General features: G+C 49.2%; 2 annotated features.

The window, feature by feature from the left end:
- Positions 1,523-2,023: an enhancer, noted in NCBI's record as "H3K27ac hESC enhancer chr20:46804279-46804779 (GRCh37/hg19 assembly coordinates)". NCBI's record gives its function as "activates a minimal SCP1, AML or CMV promoter by ChIP-STARR-seq in primed H9 embryonic stem cells {active_cell/tissue: H9 hESC(primed)}" and the evidence as "EXISTENCE:reporter gene assay evidence [ECO:0000049][PMID:30033119]".
- Positions 2,024-2,524: an enhancer, noted in NCBI's record as "H3K27ac hESC enhancer chr20:46803778-46804278 (GRCh37/hg19 assembly coordinates)". NCBI's record gives its function as "activates a minimal SCP1, AML or CMV promoter by ChIP-STARR-seq in primed H9 embryonic stem cells {active_cell/tissue: H9 hESC(primed)}" and the evidence as "EXISTENCE:reporter gene assay evidence [ECO:0000049][PMID:30033119]".

Here is a 20,087-nt window from a genome sequence, read left to right as displayed (position 1 = left end):
TCCACGAGGCAAGAATATGGGAACTCTACGTTTGAGACCATCCCAGACCTCACCCTTTGTGCCTCTTCATTTGCCTGGTCCTGATTTGTAACCTTTATAAGATTGTAACCATCCATATAGCGCTTCCCTGAGTTCTGTGCATTGTTCTAGTAAATTATGAAACCTGAGTGGCTCGTAGGAATCCTTGATTTGTAGCCAGTTGGTCAAAAGTGTGGGTGGCCGGACTTGGAGCTGGTGTGTGAAGGGAGGGCAGTCTTGTTGGGGACCGTGTCCTGAACTTGTGGAGTCTGCACCAACCCAGGTGGCGTGCCTGGGAATGGCGTTGAAGTATTGCAGCATGCCTTCCTCACTTCTTTCTGAGGGCACTTCAAGTGAGGACTTGGAAATGAGTCCCAGTCTCAGCAGATCGCACAAGTCTGTTCTCAATCTTATTGCCACAGAAAGGAACACGCTAGCAGCAGGCACAGCCAGGACTGAGCCCAGGTCTGTCCATTCCCCTGGCAGAGCCAAACCTCAACGGCACGTGGACCATGCAAGAGCTCCCTTTGGCCATTGGCATCCGGCTGTTTCTCATCCCACTTGGCTGATGCAGGGTGAGAGGGACAAGTGGGTGCTGCACCCCTCACTTGTGGGTCCAGCCACCCACACTTTTGACCAACTGGCTACAAATAAGGGATTCCTACGAGCCACTCAGTTTTCCTAATTTACTAGAACAATGCGCAGAACTCAGGGAAGTGCTATATGGATGGTTACGATCTTATAAAGGTTACAAATCAGGACCAGGCAAATGAAGAGGCACAAAGGGTGAGGTCTGGGATGATCTCAAACGTAGAGTTCCCATATTCTTCCCTCGTGGAATCAGGATGCATCCCCCTCCATACACATCAATATGTCCACCAATCACCTTCCTCCGCTGGGGACAGAGGTAGACAGTGGCTGACAGGGAATGCGGGGAGGAAGGAGCCTACATGAGCCTCAGTCTTGCTCAGCTCCCCCAGACAGGTGAGAGACAATGACATTTCAAGTACATGGCGTGCCTGGAAATGAATGACAGATTCCTCCTGAAACCTGGAACTGCTCACAAGCTGCTCTCGTGTCTCAGGGCTTGGGCCAGGCCGACTTTGACATTTACCGCTTACCTCTTCATCCCTCCTCCCTCCTTTCTTGTTTTCTTCTTAGGCCTGTGTTCCCACACTGCAAAGAGAAGGCAGTAAATGCCCATCTAATTTATCAGGGCAGTAAAAAGTATTGGGATTCATGACCAGAGGATTGTTCCGGAACAAAAATTGTGCAGCTCACCTCACCTTTCCTTGCACTGTATCTTTTTGGAATCTAAGCACGGCGAGCAGGGCACATGAGGACACGGATTCCCTGAAAAGCCCTTGAGTAATTCTGGCTTAGGCCATTAACCTTACACAGGCATAAGAAATCAACATATTTTACACATGTTCTTGTACCCCAGCTAGTACATAGATCAATGTAACTGACCTATAACATGCATATGAACCAAAATACTAGAAATCTTGTCCTGGGCTATCTATAAGGTGCATATGAACAAAAATACTAGAAACTTTGTCCTGGGCTGATCTATTACATGCATATGAACCAAAATACTGGGAACTTTGTCCTGGTGTTGTCCTGAATAGGACTTCTTCCAGTCACCAGAATGCCAATATCATTAGCAGACACTTTCCCATTTAGCAGCGAAATGGCAGGTCTGTGGGGATGCTACTGAACCATGTTTGCTTTCATGGGGTGGAAACCTGCTTGGCTCTGTCTCTGGTAAGTTCAACCTCAAAATATTTACTCTTAAATGGGTTAACTATTTTCTCCTAACCACACTGAAGCTAGCAGCAAAGGACGAACAGGTAACTTTAACATTCATTTTCCCAGGGAAGAAAGTAATTCATCACCCCGTAGCGGCCGGCTGGCGGGCCAGGCTGAAGACTGGTGTGGAGCGAGCCAGCAAGGCTAAGGTTGGCCTAAGAGACCACAGAGGGTGCCAGAGCCACAGAAAAGGCATAGCCTTGCCCCCTGGCAGAAAAAGAGGGTGAGAAAAACCCTGGCTTCTCCCTTCTTCCATGCTCCATGGCCCCAGCAGTGGCTTGGACTGGCCAAACCTGGCCCAAAGACAAGGGAGTCTGGGGAAGCTGGGGCCGGGCTCCCTGGGACAGAGCCCAGCAGAAGGGCAGGCAGTGGGCCTGAAGACAAATGCACCATTAACCAGTGACCAGCACAGAGAGAGTTCAAGACAGTTTAAATAATGGGCCTTCCTAGAAGCTGGACTTTGACTAAGCAGGTCTCTCAGGTGCATTTCTGAATTCTGCTGTCTGATATAATTCTCCCAGTAACCCGCCTTAGAAGAGACTATTTTTTCCCCAGTTATGCTGGCTTCTTGGTAGTGTTGACTAACAGAAAAAATATACAGTCCAGTTCATTATGCGAGAAATAACAGAATTCCAACTCAAACTGACTTAAACTACAAATGGGGACTTATTGGCTCAAGTAACAAAAAAGTTCAAGAAATTCCAGCTTCAGGTATAGGTAGATCCAGGGGCTTAATGTGTTCAGGAAGCCCTCCAGCTCTTGGCTTCCCTCTATATTGGCTTCACTGTCTGGCAGGCTCTGCCTTTGTGCTGATAAAGATGTATCCAACACCTCAAGGGTGAAATCCTACCAGATCAGCATTGCCAGCAAGAATCTACAAAAGTCTCAGGATTTGCACAGATTGGATCAGCCTGGGTCCAGTGCTCACCCATGAACTAGTCAGTGGGCTGGGAGAAATGGAAGACAGGGCTAAGCCAGACCCCTATCCCATACTACAGCCTGACACATCGAATCGCATCTCCAGAAATGAAAGGGTCCTGTGTGTCTGATGATGAAGCCCGTCCCTTCTCCTCCTTGTGTCCAGTCAGCTCAGGTTTTCGGGTCTCTCCTTTTCTGGGATCCTTTCCTGGGGAAATAAAGGGACATATTCCAACCAGGAAGGTAGGGAGTTCCCGGTGATACCCAAGTTGCATGGAGAACTCCCTGGTACACCCAAGGAATCCTGCCAGGCAGTTAACAGGGGATCACAGTGACTTATCCCTTTGTTCAAAAGGAAAATCATCGGTTTGGGCTGGGCAGTGCCTCTCCCTGTGCCAAGTAATCAGATGTTTCCTGAAGAATCCAAATTAGAACGCTGAGCTCACCAGGTCTCGTTCGAGATGTCTCTCATCACTCTCCCACCAAGAACACCAGCCCTTGGCTCAGAGCTGTCTCTGACCACTGCAGACTCGACAGAGAAGAACTCGCAGGCTGGTCTGTTAGACCGCAGAGAGCCAGATCATGATCCTCACTTTATGGATAAGGACTCGGAGGGGTTGTGATGACCATGGCTCTCTGCCACGTCTGTCTCTGCCTCTCCACGCATCTCTTCTACTTTGTTCTGGTTTGTGCATCTCTCTGTTACTCTCCTTTGCACTGTCCTTCAGCTCTTGGTAAATGTTTGGGTCTCACAATAAACATTTCTTAAACATCTACTGTAGGCTGGAGGTAGTGTTGGATTCCAGGGAATATAAATCTGAAACAACAACATCTCCATCTTTGTGGAATCCACCCTCCACTGTGGAAAAATTGATTTAAGATACAGCTTGCAGATATTATAGGGAGAGGATGTTTTGAGAATTCCCCAGAGAGGGACATGCTTCTGTCTGCCTTGGATAATCAGGGAACCATGAATAGACACAGATGTGATAGGTGGATTCTGAAGTAGGAGTTTTCAGGTTGCCTTTGAGATGCATTTCCACCAGATTTTTCCTTTCTCATTTTTCACTAGGACCCCGAAAAGAAAGTGCAACCTTATGGTTTGAAGTGCAAACTCAGGGACAGACTTCCTCGTTAATTCCTGGCTCCCCTACTAGCTAAGTAGCCTTCTGGAAGATGACCTTGAGAAATAACTTCTTCCCAGCCTCAGTTTATTCATCTACACAATGAGGATAATAGTAATACCCATCTTATAAGATTGGTGTGTGATCTTATAAGTCACACACCAGTCAGGGCAGCTCAATTGCTATACCAAATGACCTCCAAATCTAGGGTGATTAGATTTAGGTTTGCCTAAGACTGAGGGGTTCCCCAGGAAGCAGGACTTTCAGTGCTAAAACCAGGACAATTACAGGCAAACTGGAACTGACAGTTACGCTGCTAAGTCTCCATGGCTAACATAATAGAAGTTGTTTTCCAGCTCACATGGTTGTTGAGCAGCTGCCTTCCATGCAGTGACTCAGGGATCCAGGCTCCGATCTTCTTTTGGCTCCACCACCTTCTCCACTGGCATCTGTAATTCTGGCTGGCAGGTGGAACAAGAGGATGTTGATTTGGAGGTTCTTTGGGCCAGACCTATAAGAAGCTTGCATTACATCCAGCCACATATGCTTGGTTGAATTTAAGTCACATGGCAGGACCTAAATGCAAAGGAGGCTGGGAAATGTGGTCGTTTTCTTTGACCAGGAGGGAGAGGAAGCTGCTTTAATAAGGACATATTGGTGTCTGCTACAACAGTAAACGAGCTGAGGACAGCGACCAGCATGTTTTGATGTTATGCATTCTTATGATGAGGCTTTCCCTGACCACCCAAGGAAAAGCAGCCCCTCCACTCCTGGCACACTCTCTACTTAATGCCCTTGTTTAATCATCTTGACAACACTCAATCATAATATGGATTTCTTGTTTACCATTGTTTTCTTGCTTACTATCCATCACCCCTCCCCAGCTAGAGCATCAGCCCCAGTAGAGCAGGGGCCTTGGGAATCTTGTATGCCCAGGCCTGGGCACTGTGCCTGGTATACAGTAGGTTCTCAGTACATATCTATTGAAGACATGTGAAGAGTGGGGCTGGGCCTTTCACACCAAAGTCTCTCCTTCTCTGCCTGGCTCATTCTGTTTTGTGTTTTTCAGTCTGCAGTCTCCTCTGATCCCCTTGATCCCAGCTCCTCCCTCCCTCTCTGGAGCTCCTATCCAATCTCCATTTCCAGGGATCCCTGGGAGTCCTGGCAGGTTCACTCATTCCAGACTGCAGCTTCACTCATTCCACACCCGTGGTGTGGCCAGCCTCTGCTGCAGTCTCCCAGGAAGCTGCCTCCCAGCCCTTAGCTCCCACCCCCACCTGACACCTTCTTTTTGGAGAGGTGTTGGGTACAAAGGGAATTAGCACACATTCAGCAGACACCGAAGTCAGACATTGCACCAAGCTCCTCGCTGTTAGATTCTGCAGATGGCTTCTGGGCACAAAATATTGATGAATCACATTTCAGCATCACGTGGTCCGAGAAGCAAAAGTCACACGGATGGAGCATGTGTCTCTCAGCATGTATCCCTCTCTGCTGTCTCTGGGGTGGTCAGTGCCTGCTCCCCACTCCCTGTCCAGAGGATCTGCAGGGTTTGGAATGGGGCCTTTGGGTGGCCCTCCCCAGAGACCTGGCCACAGGGTTCTGTTGGAACTCAGGGCTAGCACAAGAGAGAAGATTCTGGGCAGCAGGAGGTAGAGGGAGAAGGAGAGGAGAATGGGATGGGTGTGGGGGTCAGGACTGGGCAGGGGTGGGGTAGGAGGTGGGGGGAATGAATCAGAGGGCATCCTGCAATTCTCAGACTCTGAAAAGTGGAGGAGCCAGCTCCACTTCAGCCTTGCACAGATGAAGAAACAGCTGGTGGCTGGATGGTTCAAGGCTATGCATTTGTTGAGCCGCAGTTAGGACTGGGACCAGCAGGGGGGCTTTGGGGCCCACTCTGCGGACTTATACAACAGGCAAGGTTAACCTCCAAGACCCCATCTGCCTGTGCCCAGCAAAACTGAAGACACAAAGAAAGAACGATGTACAGAGAAAAAGGAAATCATAACTGAAAATGTGAATGCCGGCTCTGCTGGCACCCAGACACGGACCAAACCTTCTTCTGGATCTCTGAGGGCGCAAAGAGGATTATGTTCTAAAGGTGGTGCACGAAAGTAAACAGGGTGCCTGCTTAAGATTACCCTTGACAACCTGTCATTGCCTATAAAGAACAGTCAGGGCTGGCACAGAATCAGAAGGCATTTCATACCGTGCCGTCACTGTCTTGAAATTCTTAAGTTTTATCTTTGAGCTTGTGATGTGTTGGTGAACTCCGGTGAGACACTGGCACATGCTTGGTCCTGCCCTTCCCCCCCACCAGATGAGTCCTCCAGGGCCCCCGGCCCCATGCGACCTCCCTCTCCCTGACCCCAGTCACTGCCATCAGATGGCAACTTGGCGGCAAATGCAGGGGCAGTTGCAGTGGGGCACATGCACTCACTTCATGCATCTCAGAGATGGGAGTGGTGGTGGCTGTCTCCACCCCAGGCTGGCAGCTAGACATTCCCTGTATCTTTTCAGTGACCGAGCCATCAATTCTTTATGTCTTTTTCCCTTAAGCCATTTCGAACTGGGCTTCTACAGTTTCAAACTAAAAGACTCCTATGGACTCTTTAGGCAGCACCCTACCCCCGCCACATCAAAATCAGATTTTAGGAAATGATACTGTAAGCTTCTTCCAGCCAGGTGGCAACAGCTGATAAGCTTTCCTGTGTTACCCCTCAGCACAGCATTGCCAGGAAGGCAGAAAGTCCAAGAGAGGGAGCTTAGAGATGTTTCCGGGGATCCACAGCCTTCTTCTCTATCAGCAAATTGATACTCAGAGAGGGTAAGGGGTTGGCCTGGAGTCACACAGCAAGTGAGGGCAAGAAGCCTGGTGCTCTGACCCAGGTTCCCATTTGGATACTGTGGTACCCCAGACATGCTCTTGACCCTACCAATTCCAGTGTCAGGATTCCCTGGGTTCTCTCTCTCTCTCTGCCTATCTCTGTCTCTCTGCCTCTGACTCTTTCTGTCTCCGTCTCTTTTTGCTTCTCTCTCTCCTTCAAATACATCATCACATAATGAATAGATGAACAAAATGTGGAATACCTGTACAATGCAATAGTATTTGGACATAAAAATGAATGAAATATTGATACATGCCACAGCATGGAAAAATCTTAAAAATACGCAATTCAAAAAAGCCAGGCAGGGCACAGTAGCTCGCACCTGTAATCTCACCGCTTTGGGAGGCCAAGGTGGGAGGATTGCTTGACCCCAGGAGTTTGAGACCTGCCTGGCCGACATAGTAAGAATCTGTCTCTACAACGTTTTTTAAAATTAGCCAGATGTAGTGGTGCACACCTGTAGTCTTAGCTACTGGGGAGGCTGAGGCAGGAGGATGCCTTGAGCCCAGGAGTTCGAAGTTGCAGTGAACTATGATTGTGCCACTGTACTCCAGCCTGAACAACAGAACAAGACCCATTTCTGAAAAACAAACAAACAAACAAACAAAAAAACAGGCCACATTTTGTATGTTTGTGTGATTCCATTTATATGAAATGTCCAGGATAAGCACATCCCTAGAGACAGGAGTAGATTAGTGATGGTGAAGAGTGAAGAGCCCTGACAGCTAGCAGGTGTGAGGCTTATTTGGGGAATGATGAAAACGCTCTGGAATTAGATCGTGGCGATGGTTTCATAACTTTGTGCTTCTACTAAAACCTCTAAAGCCCGTGCACAAGGCGTGCATCCTGAGGCAGAAGAGGGAATTGTTTCCAAAAGGATGGATTTTTATGGTGTGTGGGTTATATGGCAATAAAGATGTTATTAAGAAGCACCGTCATGTGACTTGGCACGTACACTCTGTTAGACGCTGAGCACTCCTGCGTCTGCGGTGCGGATGCACATGCAACGGATGCACAGGGTAAATCCACAGAGTCATGGGCACTGTCCTACAGGATATTTACAGGGTTTTCAAGGCCGATTTTGACTCTGTAAGATTTCACCTTTAGAGTAGCTGCAGAGGCTCGTGCCCCAGGTAGGATACTCGGCCACCAGCTCACCAGTGCTGGCCAGAAGAAAGAGCCAAGAATCCTAAACGTAAAAAACAAACACGATGTGTACATTCTGGGAAGATACAGAGCCCTGGAGGCTGTCTGTGGGGCTGGATTTCCTTTTTTTCAAAAGAGAGATTTTTGGCTCAGCACGGTGGCTCACACCTGTAATCCCAGCATTTTGGGAGGCTGAGGCCGGCAGATCACTTGAGGTCAGGAGTTCAAGACCAGCCTGGCCAACATGGTGAAACCCTATCTCTACTAAAAATACAAAAATTAGCCAGGCAGGGTGGCAGATGCCTGTAATCCAAGCTACTCGGGAGGCTGAGGCAGGAGAATTGCTTAAACCCAGGAGGCGGAAGTTGCAATGAGCTGAGATTGCACCACTGCACTCCAGCCTGGGTGACAGAGTGAGACTCCATCTAAAAAAAAAAAAAAGATTTTTGACTGTGCACAGAGCCTCCTGTCTATAATCCCAGCACCTTGGGAGGCCAAAGCAGGAGGATTGCTTGAGACCAGGAGTTTGAGACCAGCCTGGGCAACATAGCAAGACCCCATCTCTACAAAAAATAAATGAGTGGAGTGTGTTGGCACTAGCCTGTAGTCCCAGCTTCTTGGGAGGCTGAGGTAAGAGGTTTGCTTGAGCCCAGGAGTTCCAGGCTGCAGTGAGCTGAGATCATGCCATCACACTTCAACCTGTGTGACAGAGTGAGACCTTGTCTCAAAATAAAATAAAATAAGATAAAATAAAATAGAGAGAGATTAGCACTCATTAGTGCTTAAGGACTCCCTATAAGGAACTTGAAACTTTCTCCTTGATACAATCAGAAGGTTGAAAATGAATTTTAAAAGGCCCAATTCTGGATGGGCTACAATATATCCAATGCTGTTTCCTGGACCCCCGACCTTGTCTTCAAGACAATGAAGTCTTCAGCTGCACTTTAATCCTAGGCAATTTCATCTGTGTGTACACAGCACCGGCCATCTCAGCTGCTCTCCAAGCGCTGGGCCCCACACAAGCATGGAATGGGAGCCCACACCCAGCCTCCCAGACTCTGTGCTCTTCCCTGCTCTGCTCCTGCCTGAACATCTCACCCAGGCAAATGCAACTGTGCTCTTTAAAGACAGACAATTTTTCCTACCATATGACTGGCCCCTAAAGTCAGCCAACTCGTTCATCCAGGACTCAACTAGAAAAAATGGATGCCGTGTCTCAGCGCTGGAGGGAAATGCTATGTCAGACTCACCAAAAAAATGATGCGTCCAGATATACCAAACTCAACGGGCAATGGTGCTCTTGTGCCATTTTTGTCTCATACTCCATCCTCAGGATCCAACATAATCCTCACTGTGCGCTGGGGGCCTGGGGGAGGGAACCGTGGGATGGCTTCAGTTCTGGCTGTCAGCTATTGAGCACTCACTGTGGGCCTGCCACATCTAAATCCTTTGCAGGCATTAACTCATTAATGCTCACGACAGCCCAGTGAGATCCACGTTATTACCCACATTCAATATCCAATAATATGAGGCTCAGGAGGCTACTGACATCACCTGAAATAACAGAGCTGCCAAGAGGGGCAGCTGGGACATGAGCTCCAGGGTCTGTTTCCCTTTGCCATCTGGAGTCATTGCCTGCAGGACAGATAGGAGTCATGTCCAGGTGTGAATGGTCCCCACTCTGCTTTGGAGGCTCTTGCTGTGCACTGGCCTCCTCCGATAAAGGGCCAGCCTCTGGCCAGGGGCAGGCAACCAAGCAGGAGTGTGACGTTCCCACAGTACCAAGTGCCAGCAAGAACACGGAGCTACCACGCATGATGCTGGGGGCCATAGACACTGACGCCAACCCTTTGGAAAGTTTGGCATTGTCTACTGGAGATGAAGATGTGAAGACCCTCTGGCCCTAGCAATTGCACACTTGGTATATCCCCAGCAGAAATGCATTTTACATGTGCGGTGGGACACATGTCCAAGTCGTCCACCGAAGCGGCATGGGGAACAGTCCCTGTGCCCTGCTGATGACTCCGGCAGCCATCAGCAGCAGAATGGATAAGCACCTCATGGTGGACTCACCCCAAAGCAAAACATCAGCAGTGCAAGGAAGAATGAGGCTGCATCCAACATGCCACTGAGCAAAAGAAACCAGACACAAAAGTCCAAAATCAGGCAGAACTAAGCTTCTGTGTGTTCAGGGGATCAGGCTTAGGCAGTGTAAAAACAGAGGAGAACAAGGAGGCTAGTGCCTCAAGTCAGAAGAATGATGACTTTTAAGCAGCAAAGGAGACTGTGATTGGACAGGGAGACATAGAAGGCTTCCAGAGTATCTATCTGTATCATGATGTAGTGGAAGGGGTACCTGAATGTTCAATTTACAATAATCTGCTAATAATAACAAATACGTATTATGCACTTTTCTGAACACGGGTTCCATTTCACAAAATAACCGTTCCACCAACAGAGAGTGGTGGCCTTCCTCTTCAACCTTCATCCCTGATTTCCCTCTAATGACTTATCCGTGTGACCACACGCTCACGCTTGAGACTAAAACTTTCTCCATAACGGCAAGCTTGTCCCTGGCCTGTGCCAAGCAACCCCAGCAGAGCGGCTGCTGAGGGAAGGCGAAGGAAGGGAGGTTGGTTCTCCCGTTTTCCAAGGGTTCTGTGCTCCAGAGCCAGCTGTCTAGCCTCAGTTCTTGAACGTGATTTTTTTGTTCACTTTGTAAATGAAAGTTCAAAGCAAGGAAAACTTACTCTGGAAAGTTTTCCCAGGGAAAGCTATGTTCCTGCAGCTGCCCACTGAAATCTGCTCCCAAAGACGTCCCTCAAGCCCCCAGCCTCTCTCCATCCACCCTTAAAATGAGAAAACAGAATTGTTTTATTTTCAATGTCCAGTGATGAGCCCTGATCTCACTCCACAGAGGGAAGTGCGGTTTGTTTGTACTTGCAGTGTTTGGGCGTTTAATTTCGTTTGCTTAGTGATTTGCTCTTCTTCTTCCCGGTCTGAGGTTAAGACCAGGTTTTGGTCTTTGTGGCTTGTTTATGACCTGGGTGGTTGTCCTGTGGAAAAGAACTCAGCTCCCTGACCCTGCAGAGAGAACCACGGGTGGTCAGTGCTGCTTTAGAGGAGCATTTCTGTTTATGGTTGGCAACCAAAACATTCTTTTTGGTTTGGTTTCATCTCCTTCTTCCCAGGCTCTGGCTGGGATAGGATTAGAAGCCTGAAACAAACAAATAGAACATCTGACTTTGCAGGGCGCCTACCCTGTGCCCAGTACTGCTCCATTATGCGTGCTGACCAAGCTCATCCCCAAGCCCTCTCTGTGGGAGGGGCCATTACCTTCATGCCCATTTTACAGAGGAAGACACCGAGGCACAGAGAGGCCAAGCAACTTGCCCAAGGTCACACAGCTACTTACTGGCAGAGCTGGGACTGGAACCCTGACTGCCTCCGAACCACTGCTTCTTTCCCTGTCTCTGGAAAGATGATCTTCCCATCCCAGAGTCAAGGCACAGTCAGTGGCCGGGGGGATACTCTGGGAGTTGCATTTACAGAGGATGTTCCCACCCAGGAGAATGCCACCCTCTCACAGGACCTGTCCCCGTGGAGGACCAAAGACCCTGCCCAGCGGGATGCCCAGGACTTGTGTTTCACGGTTAGAGGTTTGCTTACATATTGTCATCGTCATGGTAGGAGCAGGTACAATCTCTACACCTTTGTGGGAAGGGAGGTAGAAATGCTCAAATGGGGACTTGTTCCCCTGAGATGTGTCAACTCCTCATTTTAAAATTGAATCTTCATTATTTTGGGGATTTCATGATTTCGGGTGGATGGGGAGGGGGCTCACCCAGCCCGAGAAAAAGGGCCCCTCGTCCTCAGGTGAGGCTGGCTGAGCTGTGTCCCTGGAGCCAGACCACCTGAGCTGAACCCTGGCTCTGTCACTTAGCAGCTGTGTGGCTTTGGGAAAGTTACTGCCTCATTCTTTGCCTCCGTTTCTTCATCTGTAAAAGGGGAATAATAGTCCCTGTTCATAGAACTGTTGTGATGATTGAATCTCTCAATATGTGGGAACCGCTGAGAACACTGCTGGCATAGTAAGCCCTCGATACGCACCAGCCAGCCTAATAACGGTGGGAACGATAACAGTTGCTGCTATCAGAACCCTTCCAACTCTTCCTCCCACCCTCCAGGCAACTGTCAAGGCCAAGTTCTGCTGCGGCGCTGGGCGGCAGAAACATTCCTCCCTCTGTGTACTCAGTCTGGCTTCCCGCAAACCCACCCAGAGCCATCCCCCCAAAGGCCCTTCCTCCCATGCGCCTCGAGTCCCCAAACCCCACCCTTCCTGCCCATCTTCAGGAACCAACCTGCAGGACCCACTCCTTCCTCTCTGTAACTCCTTCCTCTCTGTAACCCCCAGCCAGCCTTCATTCCCTCCCATGGCACCCGGCTACCATCATTACTTGATGGTCACGAGGTGTCAGCCTTGAAACCTGGACAGAAAGGGGCTCAGAACTCAGAGCCCCCAGGCCTGGTTTGCTTCCCAAAGGACAGAAGGTCACCTTGCCATTCTTTTTCGGCTGAGAAGTCCACAGGGGCTATCAGAAAGAAGAAAAAGAGATGAGTCACAAACTAATGTTTTAATCGTATTGTAATGTAAACAATCACAAGGCAATGTGATAGTCTTTCATTCAACAAACATGCGTGGAGACCCTACTACGTGTCAGGCACTGTTCTAGGCTCCAAGTATGCACGGTGAGCATTATCCCTTCCCTTATGGAATTTAAATTACACTCAGGGAGACTGACAAGAAAGAAATGTACAGGGAATACCAGGTGGTGATGAGGACCGGGGAGACACATGAGGGCTGGGAGGAGGCTGTGGAATGCCGGGCCGGGCTGGAATGATTTGCCCTTCCGAGCTGGCTGTCATCACACGCAGGGCTCTACTCACAGGCACCTCCTCCGAGAAACCATCCCTGACCACTGTCAACAGCAGCCCCACTCTCTCGCTCCATCTCCTGCCCTGCATTCTTTTTTCCACAGCATCTATAATTGCCTGGAATTATGTGTTTATTGGCTTCTTGGCTTAACTGACCCCATAACCACAATGCAGACTTCACGTGAAGAAGGGCTGTACTTGCCTCTTTCAACTCTATACGCCTGGCCCCTGGCACACGGCAGGTGTGCAATAACTATTTGTGGGATGAATGAGTCCAGTGGTTATTGGTCAAGCAATGGGGATGCCATAATTACTACAATGAGCAAAGCCCTGCCCTCGTGGAGCTTGTGTGTGTGTGTGTGAGAGCATGTGTGTGTGAGAGTGTGTGTGTCTGTGAGTGTATGAGTGGGTGTGAGTGTGAGTGTGTATGATAGTGTGTGTGAAAGAGTGGGCAGGTGGGTGTGAGAGTGTGAGTGTGCGTGTGAGGGTGTGTGAGGGTGTGTGCCTGTGAGTGAGTGAATGGGTGTGAGTGCGTGTGTGTGCGTGAGAGAGTGGGTGGGTGTGAGTGTGTGAGTGTGCGTGTGTGTGTGCACGTGTGTGTGCTTGTGTAGGGGAGCTGGGGTGGCAGCAAGTGGAAAGACAGATACTGAACGTGTTAAACAAATGAAGCTTGTTTGCTGGGGTGTTGGCCATCAAGCCCCCGCCTTCAGTGAGAGTTCAGCCATCATAGGGTCCTCCCGGCATGGGTGGGCAGGAGTGGGCATCCCTGTGACACAGAGGCCTTGTTGATATCCCAGAAAGTGCCTCCTGTTGCCAGCTGCCTCCTTCACGGGAGGGAGGACCTGCCTTTTGTCTCTTTATGTTGCCTGTGGGCAGGTTCAGGTTCTTGACTCCGCCACACAAAAGAATTTGAGAGCAAGTCCAAAGTAAAAGCAAGCAAGGGAGTGGATTGCAAAACGGAAGTGTGCTCTGCCAGCTGATCAGAGCAGGCTGAGCAAGGGTGAGGCTGCACCGACGGACGCTGCAGATTTGGGGGTCTTCCATGAGAATTCATGAAGGGCCAGGAAGGGGCTCTGCTGCTGAGCATGTTCTGGGTGGTTTTCTGGCAGTGCATAGGCTGCGGCTGTGCATGGTTGTACATACATGTCTCATTAGCATTGTAAATCTCCACTGAGGTGTTTTTTACTGTTATAATAAGCACAGGTCAACCCAAGGACATTAATCACAAGTTTCTGCACTTGCATGAATTTGGGGATTTTCCTTTCTGCTCCTCTACCTCCTGGCTGCAGGATATTCTAACCACAAGCCCAGGATGTAGTTTGTGCACAATTGGGCAGTGCGTTCTCTCCATATATTTAGCAAGTTCGCTCTCCTTCGAGGGAGACTTTAAGGTCTCCTTTAAGTCTCCTTTAAGGGAGACTGTGACCACATCATCTAACCTACCTCATTTATGCTATGCCGTGCTCCGGACACAGGTGGTGCTCAATAAAGCAACCAGGGCTGACTGGGTGATGACCCCAGATTGTCTTAACTGATGGTCTCCTGATGTTCTTAAACATCCTGGAAAATCACAGGGATGTGTTGTGTTAGACTTCTCAGCAGATCAGAGCTGCAGGGACCTTAGGGAAATCAGTCTAATATCTCCTCCCATTTCACAGGTAAAGAAACTGACTTGAGCCAGATGGGAGCGCATGGGCTGACCTGGCACAGATCTGATCTTCCAGCCATGGTGCCTGGCTGCTTGGTGGACTCCGTATTTCCCACAGTGCAGGACGTGTGAGCCACACAGAAAGGTGGGGGGGCTTTCAGACAAACGCAAGGTGTTTTGGTAGCAGGCTGACGTGTCACACGCAATGACATGGACTCGCAGGTGCAAATCTCTTTTGATCCCTCTGTTTTCCCCTGGCCAGAGTCTCCGCCCATCGAAAGCCTGCCTTGAATGCTTCGCTATCGCTTGCTCATCCTTCTGCGGATGGAGCAGGCCTCAGGCTCAGAGCCTGGAAGCCACTGTGATACTACTCACACTGTATTTCCTTTTATTATTATCTTCTATTTATGGCACTGGTTTTAAACGTCAAAATACGAAGAGAGAGAGAGAGCGTGTGATTTCTGTAATAAATAGCTGTGCTTAAGTAGAATATGTATCCATTTTGAAAAATCTAGGAAAAACTAGAGACAGGTGTTGCTATCATGACAACCAGGAAGCTGGCCGGGTGCAGTGGCTCATGTCTGTAATCCCAGGACTTTGGGAGGCCGAGGCAGGCGGATCGCTTGAGCCCAAGAGTTTGAGACCAGCCTGGGCAACATGATGATACCCTGTCTCTACAAAAAAAACACAAAAATTAGCCAGCCATGGTGGCTCACGCCTGTAGTCCCAGCTACTCAGGAGTCTGAGCCTGGGGAGATTGAGGCTGCGGTGAGCCACGATCGAGTCACTGTACTCCAGCCTAGGTGACAGAGAGACCCTGTCTCAAAAACAAACAAACAAACAAACAAAAAACAAAAAAACAGGAAGCTAAGGTGTAAATGACTGAAGTTTGGCAAACCATCAGTTGGTGGTTGCATTTTTGGGAGGATATTAAAAATAAGCAGTATTTGCTGAGAATTTACTATGGGCCGGGCTCTGCTCTCAGGCCGCCCCCAGCATGAGTGATGGTTTCCCAGTGGATGCTGACCCCATGTTGCTCCTCGGTGCAGGCATCTTGAGCAGTTGAAGATTTTGTCATCAGGGGGTGGATGGGGTTGGGCTCCCTGGCACAGTCAGGCCTGATCGACTGCCCTTGGAGTTCCTGGTCTCCGTGGGCTGAATTCTGTGGCAGATATCTGCAGAGGACCTGAGGATGGAGTTGGAGGTGGCAGGGCCTGTGGCTTCCTGGAAGGCATCTGGTGTCCTTGCTGTGGGGAGTCGGCGGCATCAGGCCTCTCTGGTTAAGTCCCATTCCACACCTCCAAGGGCACAGGAGTCAGAAGCTCCATTCAGCTGTGGCTGGGACCCAGGTGGACCTCAAGAGATGGGCTGAGTCTTCCCAGCCTGGGGCTGTGGCCCTGACCACCCAGCCACGCTGACAGCTCTGCACTGTGGGAGCGGCTCTGGCTATAGTGAGGGTGCATAGATCAGCATGTATCATTTAATGGAGAATAAATCCACATAGCCTGACCTTCCCTGGAACAGCGAGGGGAACGAAGAAGTCAACAGGAGGACTTTTCTGGCTGAGAAGCCATCTCGGAGATTTGGAGCCCTGGGTTCCGGGTAGCTGGAAAGGTAAGCTGCCCAGCGTGGCTAGTGGGTGGCATGTGGAGCTGAGCAAGCCAGGACCCTCTGGGGCACTTGGGAGGGTCCCGAGGGGAACTCAGCTGTGCAGACCCAGCTCTCGACTCTTGCTTCCTCCACCTGCCTTCTCTCTGGAGGGAGTGGGGGTTTGTTTGGGAGTGAGTGAGGGGGCAGGAAAGTGGGGCCACTTCAGTGTGGCCAGGTCTCCTGCGTGCAGTGATAGGGGAAGAGGAGTCAGAAGACAGCATGTGGAGCTTTGCTCCTGCTGGATGAGCAGGAGGGTAAAGGGAGAGGAGAAAGGCACAGGAGCACAGCCAGGCAGGCTGTCCAGGTTGGGTGGGGGAAATAGGTGGTCCCTGGGTAGTCCTCTGGGATCTCCAAGAAGAGGCCAAAGTCAGCCCTCAGTGGGGGCAGGGGTAGGGGAATAGAGACCTGACCAAGGACATGGTCAGGAGGCCTGGGAGGAGCATGGGACAGCCCTGGGGAACCCCAGGGACAGCCCCTAAGCAGGCAGGCAGGAGCCATGAGGATGGGTGACCGAGGGGGAGCAGTTCTGGTGTCTGCTGGCCTGGGTCCTGTGTGGAAGCTTTGCCCCATGATAGGAACAGGCAATGACACCGAGAATGGCGTTTGTTCAGGGCATTGGTTATGTGCTGTGTGGGAACCAATCTTTCTTTATTCCTCCGCCCCCTGAGCCAGATGGGTTTTTTATGTCTGTGATGTGGATGAGGCAGCAGAGGAGCGGAGCCATTTATCCAGCACCATGGAGCTCATAGCAGTGGAGTCAGGGTGGGCCCAGTGGTCTGATGGTTCTTCCTACACTGAGACCACCTCTTATGGAGGAGCTCAGCTCAGACAGGCATGGCCTCTTCAAAGGCAGTTGCTTCACAGTCTCTGTCTTCACAGAGAAGGGGGTTTAGAGGGAACATGGAAGCAACCAAGCCTGGCAGCCTTGGGTGCACCCTTGGCATAGACAGGTGATCACATGTAGGCCTGACCCTTGGCTTCCTTTCTTGATGGTACAGGGGACCCAGAAGACGGAATGCAAGCTCCTGGGCATCTCTATCTGCTTCCGTTTTTGTTTTTTGTTTTGTTTGTTTGTTTGTTTGTTTGTTTGTTTGTTTGTTTTTTGAGATGGAGTTTCACTTTTGTTGCCCAGGCTGGAGTGCAATGGTGCAATCTCGGCTCACTGGAACCTCCGCCTCCAAAGTTCAAGCAATTCTCTGGCCTCAGCATCCCGAGTAGCTGGGATTACAGGCGCGCCACCATGCCCAGCTAATTTTTGTATTTTTAGTAGAGACGGGGTTTCACCACACTGGCCAGGCTGGTCTTGAACTCCTGATCTCAGGTGATCCACCCCCCTCAGCCTCCCAAAGTGCTGGGATTACAGGCGTGAGCCACCGCGCCTGGCCCCGCTACCATTCTCCTCTTCCCTCTTCCTGAATCCTGGGCAGAAATCCATCCCTGCTCTGCATTTCTGGATCGCCACAAAGTCAGTGTGGTCTGTAATCCACACCTGCCAGTCAGGCAGGAACTGTTAGGCGTGTGTCTGTGCCTACCACACACATGCAAACACACACACTCACACACACGAACTTGCAAACACACACTACAAATACACTCAGTCTTAGACACATACACACGCTAGCAAACACACACACAAATATACTTACTCTCTTACCCACACTCATATACATGCACTTGCAAACACACACACACTCCCACACCCTCTGTTACACACATACACATGCACTTATAAAGCACACACTCACACCTACTTGTACATATATGTTAAATGCACACACTCTTGTGAACCACAAAACCTCCTGCTCAGGTACTGTATATCTTTGCTCGTGCTGAATACAACCTCATTCCAACCCACAAAACACAATTCACTGCACCCAAGCACACACCCACATACCTAGCCTCCTCCATTAGCACGTGTGCACAAACACACACACACCTGTCATCCAATGCACGTAAACACAAGCACATCCGCAGTTGTTTTCTGCACATAAGCACATGCTCATTCATCTGTTTTCATTCATTGAACATCCCCTGAGCTGCTAGTGGCTCTCTGCAGGGCCACATGTCGTGTGTCATGTGCCATGGGAGGCAGAGGACAGAGCGTCCAGATGTTCTGGAGCTGGGAGGGCTGCCAGGAGAAAGCAGAGTTAAGCCAGGTTTTGACGGATGGAAAGGAATTTGCATGAAGACTAATGATTCATTCATTCATTTTTGTTTCAATGGTACCTTTGTTTGTTGGTTCATTACCTGTTTTCCCCAAGCAGAATATAAGCTCCACCAGGGCAGGATTTTTCTTTTGCTCGTTGCTTTGCTTCCAGTGATTTGAACAGGGTCTGACTCACATTTGAGTTCTTAATAAATATTTGTTGAAATGCTGAGATTCAATCACTACATGAAATACCTGGCTGTGAAAAAAAAAACCCCACAAAAACAAAAACCCAGAGGGCTGTTTTCCAGCAGCTCTGGGGAAGCTACGTGACAGTCAGATGCCAGCTTCAGAAAGATTCGCCATGCGTTCTGACCCTATGTTGGTCTCTTTCATCTCCTTTTTTTCTTCAAGAAGGAAGCTGATCCCAGTGATGTCAGCCCATGCATTAGACAGGAAACAATAGCAAATGTGTAGAATTCGTATTTTTCTAAAGGAAACTTAAAAACTGTCGCTATCTGTTATATACAAAACTGGTCAATGCCACATGGACAGGGAATAATAAGTTTGATTTTGGTACTTCTTGTTCCTCTTTGTATTCAGTTGTATAGAACTTTCAAAAGCAGAATGAAAAGAAAGCTCTTCTGTATCAAACCACCTAACCAATAAATGTCATATTTTAAAAGTAGCAAAATAAATAACAATAAAAATTGTTGAGTCAATAAATGTATCCATTAATCCTCCCTGAAGGATTCTGTTGGGGGTGATTTGACCCATATTTGATGTGATAGGTTGTTTCAAAATGTTCATGAGGAATAAGGATCTTTTTGCCCCTTTATGGAGAAGAGGGTGAAATAAATGGTGTTTTCTCTGGAAAGAGTGGCTTGGAATCAGTGAGTTAGGAAGAGTTAAGTTTCCACAATCTTCTTGGTGACTTCAGAACTATGGAGAGTGGAGAGGGAGGGAGAAGGAAGGAGGAAAGGAGGGAGGGAAGGAGAGATGGAAGGGAGAGATTGAGGAGGAAAGAGACAGCTTATTCAGAAAGAAATCAAAGAGCACTGAGACCTGGCATCCTCTGAGAACTGGGTGACCTGGGTCACTGGGCCTGTTTTCTGAATGTCGGCTGGGAATGAGCCAGCCCAGAGGACAGACAGGGAGTTGGAAATGAAGAGAGTTTGCTAATCCTGCGGTTTTGTACAAATCCTCTCATGTCTCTGGGCCTCAGCTGTGCATAAACTCAGAGGCTGGACAAGAACAGTGCTGCCAAAGTGGCATCAGTGGGCAGATTTCAGGTGGTACCTGGACATGCATGTTTCTATTTTAATAACTATTTATCAAGAAATAGAAAGAACAAGAAATAATGTGATAATTGCTATTCCCAAGTATGAGGTTGATTCTTACAAGAGAGTTGATGGAAAGCAGGTTTGAAAGGACATAGGTAATTTTGCCCAGGTGAGATGCAGGTACAAGACGGTGCTGGTGGACATGAATGCTGGTGTTTGGGAAATGCTGGCCTGAGTGACTGGAAACATTACCAGAAAGGGGTCCTGATCCAGACCCCAAGAGAAGGTTCTTGGACCTCATGCAAGAAAGAATTTGGGGCAAGTCCATAGAGTAAAGTGAAAGCAAGTCTATTAAGAAAGTAAAGGAATAAAAGAATGGCTACTCCATAGGCAGAGCAGCAGCATGGGCTGCTTGACCGAGTATACTTATAGTTATTTCTTGACCATATGCTAAACATGGGGTGGATTATTCATGAGTTTTCCAGGAAAGGGGCAGGCAATTCCTGGAACTGAGGGTACCTC

Source organism: Homo sapiens, chromosome 20, assembly GCF_000001405.40.
Source record: "Homo sapiens chromosome 20, GRCh38.p14 Primary Assembly".
NCBI classification, from domain to species: domain Eukaryota; kingdom Metazoa; phylum Chordata; class Mammalia; order Primates; family Hominidae; genus Homo; species Homo sapiens.
Note: the sequence above shows the minus strand (reverse complement) of the source record. Positions and strands in the feature narration are given on the sequence as shown.